The sequence below is a fragment of the Homo sapiens genome, chromosome 19, assembly GCF_000001405.40.
Source record: "Homo sapiens chromosome 19, GRCh38.p14 Primary Assembly".
Classification (NCBI taxonomy): Eukaryota; Metazoa; Chordata; class Mammalia; order Primates; family Hominidae; genus Homo; species Homo sapiens.
The window spans coordinates 51,594,859-51,608,130 of NC_000019.10; the positions used below are offsets into that span (position 1 = coordinate 51,594,859).

At 51.0% G+C, this 13,272-nt stretch overlaps 1 pseudogene, besides 3 other annotated features; it reads left to right on the top strand.

Annotated features, from left to right (window-relative positions):
- Positions 140–189: an enhancer, noted in NCBI's record as "active region_15024". NCBI's record gives its function as "activates an Ori minimal core promoter by ATAC-STARR-seq in GM12878 lymphoblastoid cells {active_cell/tissue: GM12878}" and the evidence as "EXISTENCE:reporter gene assay evidence [ECO:0000049][PMID:35858748]".
- Positions 272–439: a silencer, noted in NCBI's record as "fragment chr19:52098383-52098550 (GRCh37/hg19 assembly coordinates)". NCBI's record gives its function as "represses an EF-1alpha promoter that drives an FKBP-Casp9 reporter gene in an ReSE screen in phorbol 12-myristate 13-acetate-treated (for megakaryocytic differentiation) K562 erythroleukemia cells {active_cell/tissue: K562(+PMA)}" and the evidence as "EXISTENCE:reporter gene assay evidence [ECO:0000049][PMID:32094911]".
- LOC339352 (cytosolic thiouridylase subunit 1 homolog (S. pombe) pseudogene) lies at positions 3,652–7,046 on the top strand (annotated as a pseudogene).
- Positions 12,196–12,555: an enhancer, noted in NCBI's record as "active region_15025". NCBI's record gives its function as "activates an Ori minimal core promoter by ATAC-STARR-seq in GM12878 lymphoblastoid cells {active_cell/tissue: GM12878}" and the evidence as "EXISTENCE:reporter gene assay evidence [ECO:0000049][PMID:35858748]".

Genomic DNA, 13,272 nt, shown 5'->3' on the forward strand with positions numbered 1-13,272 from the left:
CTGACACCTTCTCACTCTCGCCCTTCAACCTGGGTGCAGTGCGAGTGCACCCTCCTCTGTCCTGGTTACAACACAGAGTGGTCAGGGCTGGCCCAGGGGGTGCTCAGGAGGCTGTGGGAACACAGAGGAGGTGCTAGACCCAGCCCAGGGTTCAGGAAAGACCTTACAGAGCAAAGGACCTCAAATCTACCACATCCAAACGAAATCCCAGATTCCCTGTCCTAAACCTGCTCCTCTCACAATCTTTCTGCCTCCTCCCCACTAACTGTCCATCCAAGTGCTCAAGCCAAAATCTTGGAATGGTCGCCAGTGTTCTGTTTCTCTCATCCGCTTCCCTCCCGCAACCAAATCTTGTGTGAGTCTCATCGTCTCTATCTCCAGAAGAGGCCCAGAATCTAACCACTTCTCTCCACTTCCACTGTCTCCATTCTGCTCCGAGCTACCGTTACTCCTCACCTGCATCACTGCAGGGGCCTCCTCACTGTTCTGTTTCTTCCCTTGCCACACTCCACCCTCTATTCAGGCACAGTGCCAGGAAGCCTGTGGAAATATAAATCAGATCCTGTCACCAGTCACTACCCTGCCCCCCAGCTTAAAATCATCCAGTGGTTCCCATCTCAGAATAAAATCCAAGCTCCTTATCCTGCCAACCTCTAAGCTTCTGGTCCTTTCTGGTCGTCCTCAGTCACAACACACTTTCCAATGGGCTGAACACAGCCAGGCCCTGCCCTTCATGTCCTTTGCATTTGCTATTAACTCAATTTGGAGCATTCTTCCCACCCTGACCCAATATCTGTCTACTCATTTTGTTGGCCTCAGCTCAAAGGCCTCCAGCCACCCTAAAGAACCCCCTCCCTGTTCCCCCCCCCCCAGTCATACCACCAAAGATAATTCCCTCGTATTTGGAAAGCATCTTAGTCATTTACTTCCTTATCCATGGCCTGGTTCCTCCATTAGAACATCAGTGCCCTGACAGCTGCAACCTTTCCTATCTTGCTCACTGCTGTGTCCCAGTACCTAGAGCATGCTGGGTACATAGGCGGCACTCAGTGGGTATTTGTTAAATGAATGAATGAAAGTTTGAGCTGAGACTTGAAGGTAAGAGTTAGGTCTACCACAGTGTTTAGGGAAGTGTCTTGCGCAATGAGATCAGCCTGGCCAAAGATGCAAGGGGTTGAAAAACCAATGGGAAGTTCATCTGGCTGAGGTGAGTAGGTAACTAAAACAGGGATGCAACTGGATCTGATAAGGACCTCAGGAAGTGAACCCCAGTACTAGGTGACTGCAGATTCAGAGGTTGAAAAAGCTGAGTTGTCTTCCATAGAGAAGCTGGGTGAAAGGTGGTGTTGCTTCCGGGAGACGGGGAGCTTGGTTAGGTAAGTTTCTGCCTTGGGGTGTGAGAGCTGGTCAGTTGGGCACTGAGATATGAGAGGCCTAGATGGGATCTTCCGTGGGGCATTTGGAGGGCCAGGCTGGTGGACATTGCGATTCAGAGTCACCCACAAACAGAATGAGAAGAGGGGTGATGGGCAGGATATGAGGACTGTGAAGAGGCCTCCCCAGAAGATATTAAGCAGGAGGCAAAAAACAAGAACAAAGAGGGAGGACTAAATCAAAAGCTGTGGGAGAAAGTATTTCAAAGGGGACTTTGCTCCGCTGTGACAGATGTACCTGACATCACCGCAGTTGAGTCCTGAGGGCTGCTTGATGGCTCAGTGACAGGGAAGAGTGCTTTGGGCAAAGAGAAGAGCCAGTGAAAACAACTAGAGACAAGAGTGTTCCTGGGGGTACTCAAGAGTAGACACCAGTAAGCAAGAAGGAGAGTGGAAGGAGATGAGGACAGAGAAACAAGGAGCCAGAGCCTGTAGGGCCTCGTCGGCCATTAGCAGTTACATTTTGTTTTTTGTTTTTTTGAGACAGAGTCTCGCTCTGTCACCCAGGCTGGAGTGCAATGGCACGATCTCGGCTCACTGCAACCTCCGCCTCCCAGGTTCAAGCAATTCTCTGCCTCAGCCTCCCAAGTAGCTGGGATTACAGGTGCCCACCACCATGCCCAGCTAATTTTTTTGTATTTTTAGTAGAGACAGGGTTTCACCATCTTGGCCAGACTGGTCTTGAACTCCTGACCTTGTGATCCACCCGCTTCGGCTTCCCAAAGTCCTGGGATTACAGGCGTGAGCCACTGTGCCCAGCCAGTAGTTACTAAAGTGAGATGAGATGCAGGGCAGGATCCCACTGGCTGTTATATGAAGGAGTGTGTGTGGAGGAGGCAAGGCAGGGAGCATGGAGACCTGTGAGGAGCCCCCTGCAGCCATCTAGGAGAGAGGCAGACCTGACTAGGGTGCTGCCATGGAGATGGTCAGAAGTGTTTGGCTGTTTTGAAGCTATAGTCAAACAATATGTGTGACTTTTCATTTGAGCACCTGGAGTTTGAAAGGGTCCGGACTTAGCATTGCAATTTGGCTCCACCCACTGGGAGAGTGACAACTGTAGTGATAGAAAGAGCAGTCCAGGGTCCTGGACCCCAAAGCTTCTGGCCTGAGCAGCTGGAAGGGATGGAGCTGCCCTGTACTCCAGGAGAAGCCCGTTAGGTTAGAGGAATCAGGAATTTGGGTTTTGAGATGCTTATTAGACATCTGAGTGGCACTGGTCTTTACTTGCATGTAAGTTAGAGACGGTAAATACACAGTCATATGAAATAATTCCACACATTGTGGTAAATCCTAGAAGCAGCGTGACCTGCTCTGAATGGCAAGGATGTGACGGCAGTAGTGCAGGCTGGAGGTGGTGGTGGCTTGAGGAGGGGGACTAAGCCTGGGGAGTTTTTATGGGTTCACCAGACAAGTGGGACGAAGGAGGTTCGATGGGACAGTTAGAGTCTTGGCTGGGTGGGGAGGGATGAGGTAGGAAAGAGAACAGTTGGGGGCCAAGGATGAGCCAACCCCATCACTGACCCCTCCCCTCCCAACCTCTCTGTGTCTTTCGGGGGCCACAGAAGCTTAGGTGGATTCTGATACCAGAGCGGGGTTAAGTTCAGAACTGGAGGCCTACACACCCTCACCTCAAAAATAGGTGCAACCCCTGCTAGTCTCCCTAGAGGTTGATCTAGCCTGCCTGTGTATGTCCTTGTAAGACACAATCAGGACCCATTCCTGGAGACAGAATGCCCACCCCGACCCCTGAAAGTGAAATCCAATTGGTCTTTTCTGTATAGCCCCCTTCCCTTGAACAGAGCATGACCTCCCTCTGTCCTTAAGAGTCTCTGACCCCTCCCCTCCCAATCTCTCTGAATAGTCAGTAATATCTACCTTCTGATCAGGGCTGTAACATGGGTGGCCTCCTGGAAGTTGTTACAACTGGTCCTTAATAGACGCCCTCACCCCTTTGGACAGGACACGATCTAATTCTGGGTATAACCTGCTTGTTGCTCCCTCTTTTTCCCCCTGAAATCAGCTTAAGTTCCTTCTCTTCTTGGTGCATAATGGGTGCAGTCCAGGAAGCCTTCCTGGAGGCAGTGGCCTTCTTACACCAGAACCCATTTATAACCCACGTATATAAGAGCAGCAGCCACAGCTGCCCCTGGTCTATTCCAGGCAGGGGCACTATCTAGGGAACTCCTCAAAGGCAATGAAACATGTGTAACCCGCCTCCTCTCCCGGTCTAGGAGAAGCTGTCCCTTCTTGCAATGCCCGCCCCGTCATGTGCCTCCTGCCACGTGGCATGCGCCTCCCTCCGCCGTCCATGCTCGGGCCAAGTGCTGTGCGGTTCCTGCTTCTGCACCGCCTTCGAGGCGGAGGTGCAGCACATGGTGCTTGTGGGCTACCTGCTGCCGCCAGGCGCAGTGGTGGCCCTGGGCACCTCGGGCGGCAAGGATTCCACGGTGCTGGCACACGTGCTGCGCACGCTGGCACCGGGCCTGGGCATCTTACTGCAGCTCATGGCTGTAGACAAGGGCATCGGGCGTGGCTTAGCGGGAGGATCCCAGTAAGGAGCTGGGGAAATACGCATGTGCCTATTTAGGGCCGGAGCCTACTGAAGGCTCATGTGGGTAGTACGTGTGGCTCCCTACGATGGAGTAAGGCAGGTTTTTCAAGCCTCTGGGTCTCTGACATCATCTTAGTGAGAGATGAAGCTGGCTGGGCTTCTGGGTCAGGTGGGCACTTGGAGAACTTTTCCGTCCAGCTAAAAGATTGTAAACACACCAATCAGTGCTCTGTGTCTAGCTAAAGGTTTGTAAACGCACCAATCAGCACTCTATAAAACCAGACCAATCAGCACTCTGTAAAACCAGACCAATAAGCACTCTGTAAAATGGACCAATCAGCGCTCTGTAAAATGAACCAATCAGTGCTCTGTAAAATGGACCAATCAGCAGAATGTGGGTGGGGCCAAATAAGGGAATAAAAGCTAGCCACCGAGCCTGCAGCGGCAACTCATTTGGGTCCCCTCCCACGCTGTGGGAGATTTGTGCTTTTGCTCTTCACAATAAATCTTGCTGCAGCTCGCTCTTTGGGTCCGCACTACCTTTATGAGCTGTAACACTGCGAAGGTCTGCGGTTTCACTCCTGAAGTCAGCGAGACCAAGAACCCAGGGGAAGGAACCAATTCTGGACACATTGGTACACACATTGGCAGGTAGAGGGGCTACCTTGTAGGAGCTAAGGCTGGAATACTCTGCTATCATTATTATTATTATTATTATTATTTTGAGATGGAGTCTCACTATGTCACCTAGGATGGAGCGCAGTGGTGCAGTCTAGGCTCACTGCAACCTCCGTGTGCCAGGTTAAAACGATTCTCCTACCTCAGTCTCCTGAGTAGCTGGGCTTACAGGTGCCTGCCACCACACCTGGGTAATTTTTCTATTTTTAGTAGAGGGAAATGACTTTGTATCTCCCTTCACAAAGAGAGATGTGAAGAGGTGTCTCTCATCGAAAGTCACACAGTCTGAAATGCTACTGTGTCTCTTAACTCCTTTTCTTTATAGGTTTCTCTCTGACAACTCTTATTTTCTCTCAATGATTACTTCAATAAGTAATCATCGTCCATTGACTAAATACCAGATACAAGCTGTGTAGCCTAGAGCAAATTACTTAACCTCCGTTTCATCTTTTGTAAAATGGGGATGTTAATAATATCTGGGTCCTTGAGTTGGGAATTAGATGAGTTATATATAAAGCACTCAGACTAGAGGCTGAAAAACAGTAAACATGATGTAAATGTTTGCTGTTATGATGATCCACAAGAGCACAAGACAGTCTCTGCTCCTGCCTGATTCTCACGAATGTAATTATAACCTGACGAGTGCTACTACGGAAAATTACACAGAATGTGTGAATTTATATCAGGGGGTACTAGTGGCGGGGAAAAGGTGGGGATTAAGGAAACGTTTCCTGAGTGAACTGAGACCCGAAGGCTCAGTGAATAACCAGGTGAAGGATGAGTTGGAGTTTGGGCGGGGGGTGTTCTGAGCTGAGGTCACAGAGAGGCAAAGGCCTTGAGGAGGGGAAATATGACCAACTTGAGAAGCCCGAAGAAGAACAGCATTTTAATATACAGACTCAAGTATAAGATGACAAAATGCAGAATAAACGTAGTTTCCATTTAAATTGTATGGCGACTGGTGTGTATGTATTCATTAACTTTCTTTCTGGTCTTTGTAAATCGCGTGATCTGCATTCCCAGAGACACTTGTGTCTACAGCTCTCTTGAGAATCCCCATTAGATGGCCCTTTTTTCTCCTGTGTAGTCTGAAATACAGTTTTAACTGAGGCTGAAATGGTGTTTGCAGCTTAAAGCACTTTTACCCGCTATGTGGAAAGAGAGCTAGCGAAGGGCTTGGTATACAGTAGGTGGATGGCAAATGAGGGCTCCCCCCAAGGAGCTTGTTTGTGTTCCCTTCAGGTTTTCTGTCCACCTCCAGTCTCCTTCTGGTTGCTCCATGGTGCCCGGGAGTCTCCATGGTCCGGTTTCCCCATCAGTATCTGTTCCCCCTCCCCCTGCCCCTCTCTGTCTTGGGTCCTGGCGGCCCCGCTGTGCCCTGGGTCTCCCTTCCCCGTCTCTCTCTGGGTCCTGGTTACCCACAGTGTCCCAGGGGTCTCCATGGCTCTGTCTCCCCCTCTCTGTCTCTGGATCCTGGCTGTTGCACATTGTTCGGAGGTCTCCATGGCTCGCTCTCCCCGTCGCCGTCTCTCTCTCTGGGACCTGGCGGCCCCACTGTGCCCTGGGTCTCCGTGGGTCTCCCCTCCCAGTCTCTCTCTGGGTCCTGGTGGACCCTTGGTTCCTCGAGGGGCTCCCTGGCCAGCAGCGCCCTCCGCGCCGCACCTCACCCTCTCCCGTCTCTCCCCACCAGGTCACAACGCCGACGACATGGTGGACACCGTGCTCATGAACTTCCTGCGGGGCGGCTGGCCCGGGGCGGGGGCCTGGGCTCTCCGGGCTAGGGGGGTGCCCTTCCGCGCTGCCGCCCGCTGCAGTTCGCCTCGCAGGAGGTGGTGCCGTACGGGCACTTCCGCCGCCTCGACTACTTCTCAGAAGAGAGGAGCGCCCGGGACCTGCTCAAGCGCCTGGAGGCGCCGCGGCCGTCGGCGGTGCTGGACCTGGTGCACTCGGCCGAACGCCTGGCGCTGGCCTCGGCCGCGCGGCCCCCGCGCCCCGGCGCCTGCCCCCGCTGTGGGGCGCTGGCCAGCCGCGCGCTCTGCCAGGCCTGCTCCCTCCTGGACGGCCTGAACCGCGGTCGGCCCCGCCTGGCCATCGGCAAGGGCCGCCGGGGGCTGGACGAGGAGGCGACGCCGGGGACGCCCGGGGATCCGGCCCGGGCCCCCACTTCCGAGACCGTCCCCACCTTCTAGCGACTCCGGGCCTCCCGCCGGGATCCGACGCGCCCGGGTGAGGTCTGCCTGTAAATGACACTGTGAATAAACCCGTTACCTTACCTGGCCTTCCATGTGAGGTGGGAGGGGGATGGGGGCCCAGTGACCTGAAACCCTGAAGCTGGGACCCCAGACTTCGGGGTCTCAGGGAGGAAGGGTCTCGAGCTGGCCTTCTGGCTCTGAGGGAGGAGGGGGCTGGGGGGCCATCCTAGGTCTGAGAGAGGAGAGGACCAGGACTAGGGCTAGAGGAAGTGGGGCTGGGGACCCCAGGCATCTGTGGCTGAGGAAGGAGGGCCTGGGGTCGTGGACTCCTGGATCTCAGGGAGGAGGGGGCTGAACACCTTGTGATTCCTGAGCGAGTGGGGGTTGGTTGGGGACCTCCTGCCCAGTTCTCTGCTGGTTCTGGGTGCGCTCAGCATGGTCCTGACCCTCCTTGAGCACCAGATTCCTGATGTTTCCTGTTTGCCCGCAGTGGGGTAAGCGGAGTGACGTGACTTGATGGACACACGCCATTCACAGCCCCCGTCACGATGCCTCCCTTCCAGCGCTTCGTGTGCAGCGCGTGCTGCACCCTCATTTCGTCTCCTCCACGGCCTCACTGGCAGTAGCCTGAGCCGCAGTAACTGACCTGGGGGCTCCCACCAGGTTGGCCTGGCTCCAGAGCTGTCAGAGATTTTGGGATTGCCTTTCCCCCATGCTATCCTGTCCTCATCCATCACCACCTGAATCTCCCTTGCCGTCTCTTGTCATAGGTAAGGAGGGGCTGGTGGGCTTTGCAGACCTCTCAAGCTCTGAAGGCAGAGCTGCGCGAGCCTGAATCGCCGCTTAACTCTTCTGACCTTCTATTTCCTCCTCTGAAAATAGAAGCAACCCTCCCTCTCCACTCCCCCGACATCAGGGTACTCTTGGGAGGATTCAGTAACTTGGTTGTTCATATTAAGGTTTGGCCACCAGGGAGCTTTTAGTTTCAGGATTGCTGCTCAGCTGGTCCTGAAAGGAGTGAGGCCCAGAAACTTCCTGCCTAACCTGTGGGAGATTTGGTGTTCTCAGTCCCACCTCCGAGCTTTGCTGGCTTGCCTCCCTAGTCAGGAATGCCTTCCCTTTCCCATCTGCCTGCTCAAACCCTCCAGGGTCCTTACAGAAAGAGGACCTTCCTGATTCTCCCCTCCCACCCAGTCCAGGGCGTAGGGATCTCCCAAACCCCACCCCATAGGTCCCCCACCCATAGGTCCTGTCCTGACTCTGTGGCCTTCCCACCGTTTTGGGTTATGCTCTCCCTAATTAGACTGATCATTAAGGGCAAAGACCAGACCTCTCTCCCCATCGGACAATAACAGCATTATTCATCCAAGAAACACTTATTGAGCACCTAATGTGTGCAGGGGCTGTTCTAGGCACTGGTGAGAGAAAAAAGACAGAGTCTTTCATGGAACTTAGGGCCTTGTGGGAAAGACACCTATATAATGTCAGATAATTAGTGCTGTAGATAAGAAATAACATAAAGGGAAAAGGTGTAAAGAGCTGTTATTTTAGTTTGAAAGGCCAGGGCCTCTTTGAGAAGGTGACTTTGGGGCAGAGATCAAACAAAGCAAGCGAGGTTTCTAGCCATGATAGAGAAGCTAATGTCAGAACAACACTTCCACACTAAGACTGAGACCAAATGGAAAAACAGTACACACATACACACACAAAAACAATCTGATGACATTGGAGAGCTACCAAGTTGGCCAGGATCGCAGAGAAAAGGGAAGCTCATTCTCCTGGAGGGGCCAAAAGGCTAAGGAAGCAAGCAGAAAGCAGAGGATAAGAAGATGGGAACCTGAGTTGAGCTTTCAGCAGTGTTATGGCTGGGGCTGGAGACAGAAATCATGGTGGCCAGGTGCAGTGGCTCATGCCTATAATCCCAGCACTTTGGGGTGCCAACGTGAGAGGATCTCTTGAGCTCAGGAGTTTGAGGCCAGCCTGGGCAACATACAGAGACCCTGTCTCTACAAAAAAAAAAATTAATAAAATTAAATAAATACAAATAGATCATGGAGCCTGGTGCTACCAAGGTAGACAGGACTTGAGGGACCAAAACCCTGGAAGGAAGGGAAGATCACTGAGGTGAGCCCAACATGTTTAAACTCTCCTCTCAGCAGTCTGATGGAACTGGGTAAGCCAAATTTGATGTTCCGGGTCTGATAAGGAGAGGCCCAGTAAACACCCCAAACCTTCCATTAGAACTCAAGAAGGGTTACAGATTAAAAGTAAGGGTCGGCCGGGCGCAGTGGCTCACACCTGTAATCCCAGCACTTTGGGAGGCCAAGGTGGGCGGATCACGCGGTCAGGAGATCGAGACCATCCTGGCTAACACGGTGAAACCCTGTCTCTACTAAAAATACAAAAAATTAGCCGGGCGTGGTGGCGGGCGCCTGTAGTCCTAGCTACTCAGGAGGCTGAGGCAGGAGAATGGCGTGAACTCAGGAGGTGGAGCTTGCAGTGAGCTGAGATCGCGCCACTGCACTCCAGCCTGGGAAACAGAGTGAGACTCCGTCCCCCCCGCCAAAAAATATGGGTCAACTGGGAGTAGACCTGCCCACAAAAAGACCAAAACCCATCTTCAAACTCACTCAGCCTGGGGCTGGCTTAAGGGATCTGTCCCTATTCCACTTGCCAGAAAGCAAAAATAGGGTAGCCCTAGCCACATGAGCCGATTTATCTTTAAATTAATTAAAATAAAATTAAGGATTAAGTCCTCAGTCACCCTAAACACCTTTCAAGTGCTCCTTACCACCATATTGAACAATGCAGACACAATGCCTCCATCGTCATGAAAGTTCCATCGCACAGTGCTGTTCTAGACTGTACTAGAATCCAGAGGAGGAAAATTTCAGTCAGAGCTCAAAAAAATCTCTGCAGTTTTTCAAACAAAATACTAGAAATTCAACTAAAAATTAAAAAGTTGACAAGCATGCCAGGAGATATGACAAAATTGTTGAATACCAAGAGGCTGGGCATCAAGCACAGATGTATTTACAGGTGTTCTAGATATGAGTTTTAGGTATGGACTTTAATTGTCATCACGTAAAAACAGATGCTAAAATGGAGAGTTTCACCATTGTATTGGATTACATTTTTAAAAGAACCATTAAAATTGTGAATGTGATTAATAATAATAACCAGGCAGAATGGAGTAACTAGTACCAGACTTACCCTCCTGCTGTAAACAACTATAAAATAGCATAATGTATTAGGCAGTTTTCCCTGCTTTGCTCCACATGCAGGCCATCTTCCCAATTGCCAGCCCTGGGGATGACCAACACCAGCCTCAAATCTACCACCACCTGCTTGGCTGTGTGCTTACAGAGGTAGTAGCTACGCAGGCAACAGTTTTCCATAGAACTTTCTGAGATCCCCCTTTGGGGGTCCCATGGTAACAATGGGCATACTTGGCTTTTCATATATCCCTGCACGCTCTGTCTTGCCTACCCACACCTGTTCTTCAATGGAACTGCTTAATGATGCTCTCATGATCATCCTGCCTTCTCCAAAGCATCACTTTCCAGCTCTACCACATTTGCATTAAGTTCTAGGTCCTCTAGTGAGCGCTCTATTCTCATAAAACTCTTGGCTGCTGTTTCCCTGGCCACACTCTTGTCTGGTGGAGTGATGAAAACCTATGGAGATAATTTTAAGCTCTGGGTCACATTATCCTTCTTCAGGGCATATTTACTGTTGCTTGTGGCAAGCCGACCACTTCAATTTGATCAGATATTGAGGAAATTTGGTCTGGCTTTAATCCTTATGAGGTATCATCTAGTTCCAACTCATCCTTACTCTACAAGGTCCCAACCACAGCACTACAGTGTTTACCATGGCCCTTTTTCCTTGGCAAGCCCTCAGCCATAACTTTTATCATTCTATCCCCATGAGATTCAAATGTTCTACTTAGCTTTTCAGTCTATGCTTGGAATCAGCAACCTGTTTCATCCAAAGGATTGGGTTGTGGAAGACATGAAGGACCCTGAGCTGAAAGCAGAGGACCCAGCTCGGGGCTGATCCACAGGCCACTCCTGGTACCATACCCTCCTCTGTTCCCCAGGTCCTCCCTCTCCCTGCAAGTGCTGACCCAGACACCTGACATTCACATCCTAGGTATCCTGGAATCTGGGTGCAATGGGGCTCTGACTTCCCCATGTCAGAGCCTGCTGAGGATATAGGACACCCAAGAACTGTTACTGGGAATGGGTCACCCTGAGACACACCTCCCTCCACCCCCACACACACTTATTGTGGTTGTGATGATCAGAAGAGCTTGCACCTTGCACTTTTCTCACTCCAGGATCCCCAGATGGACCCAGATCCAGTTCGTGGCTATTGGTTCTGGAAGGGGGCCATCCTCACCTGGATCCTCCAGTACCAAACATAACAGAGTCTAAAATGTGAAAGAAGAAGGCAATGGCAAATCTACCTTCTCTGAGGCCTCCAAACTCGCAACTGGCCCTCAAGGATGAGAGGTGCTCAGATATGGGACACGGGAACACCTAAGCTCTCTGTAAGTAGAGTAGTACTCTACCTTTCACATTTAGAGGTTATGTTTTCTATTTGTGACAATATCTCACTAAAAGTCTTCTCCTCATGAGGGAAAAATGTCATGCTCCCCTCCTTCTTGGCATCTCTGTTGCTCAGTGAAGGTCCCCAAGGAGGTGGAATCAGCCTACGGTTCTTGGTGTCTCTTCTGCAGCTTTTGACCTGGTCTATTTGTGGAAATAGGAGGATCATGGAAATGGAAATGTTGACCTCTTCCACAAACCAAAAGACATAGGCTCTTCTAGAGTAAACACAAAAATTTCAAGATGAGAGATCAAAGCATGAGAATACAGAGGCAGTTTGTCCTGTACCACATCTTCAAATCTCAGACCTGCAGCTTCTATCCTGCATATTTCTCCAAGCTGTACCCCAAAATGATGACGAAGGACCTTCTGTGAAGTCACATTTCCTGCAATCCTCTTGTCCCTGCACCTGCACAGCAGGGGCAACAGCAGCATCTTGGGTTTGGAGGGGGGTGAGTCTGGGACTCCTGACATCGCCTGATGAGTCTCTTCTACCTGGAGATCAAGGCAGCTACAGAAAGAGCACAGCTAGAGACTTTTCCTGGATTGAGCTGCTCCAAGTTCCTCTCTCTGTTAGGAGTCCTCTTCCCTCAAACAACTACCAGGGAAGTGAAAGCTGACCTCCTTTTACCCCAGGCCTACTGATAACCTGTTCAGTGCCCCCTGCCATCTCATTCCTCACTCAGATGTTGCCTCCTCCAGGCATCCATTCCTACCTCTCCTCAGAAAATGAATGGGGCATGCCCCACCTCTTCTCTGTTCACTTGGAACTCGGAGATCTCTCTCAGAGCAGAAGAGTGTAGGAGCCCTGAAACTGAATCTTCTGCCCCTCCACCCATCACACAAGAAGTCACGAGAAGGTGGAACTGAAACTCACCTGCAAGGGGGGCCCTTCATGGTCAGAGACGGTGACTCAGAACTGAGGCCCTGGCTCCAGCTTCACACTCGACTGTGATGTTTGTGGTTTTTCTGGTGTCAATTTGAGTTCAGAAAGTCACTGAATTTTTGTATGTCTCCTCGCTTATTCTCAGGTTTCTGATAAGCCCTTCACTCACACCTTCAGTGTGAGTTTTGACTTCTTGACAGTTCCTCCAGCCCTATGGGCCTCCCATCTTCACAGTATTTATCAGATCTCTCCCTCCTTAACGCACATCCATTTTACCCTGACATTGCCTTGCCTGTTCTGCCCTTCATGACAACTCTCTCCATCCTGTGGTCCACTGAGGCCCCAGGATCCTTTTCCTAGTCTAAACACTTACTATTCATGTAGAATGAAGGAAAACTTAGAATTTATTTCTGTGACCCCTCAGCTCCAAATATAACTTCACAACCAGCCTTCTAATAGATCCTTCATTCCTTCATTTGAGCTGATTCAGGATTTGGCACAGAGTCAGGTATGGAAAAGGATCACATATCATGTTCTGTTTTTCAGAACACCATGACAGGACAAATAAGGGATTCAAAGCAAGAGCAAATTATCAACTCACTGGAAAAGGAAGGGAGGAAGAGATGGAGCCTACCACATAGAAGGTTTCCTGGAAGGAGTGAGGGCAGAGTCAGCCCAGAGAGGCAAGGATCCCAGTGGCCTGTGAGAAATGCACCATCTCTCTGAAGTTAAGTCTTCTCTTCCCTAAAATGAGGGGGACTTCAGAAGAAGACTGAGGAGGAGTTTGAATGTCCTCTGACCAGCACCTCTGTCCTGCAGCACAGAATGTAACCAACTCTGCTTTCCAACCTTCTTACCTCTGCATTTGAGACAGGACAGAGTTCTGCTCCCAGGGGGCGCTCCACCCGCCATGCCCGAT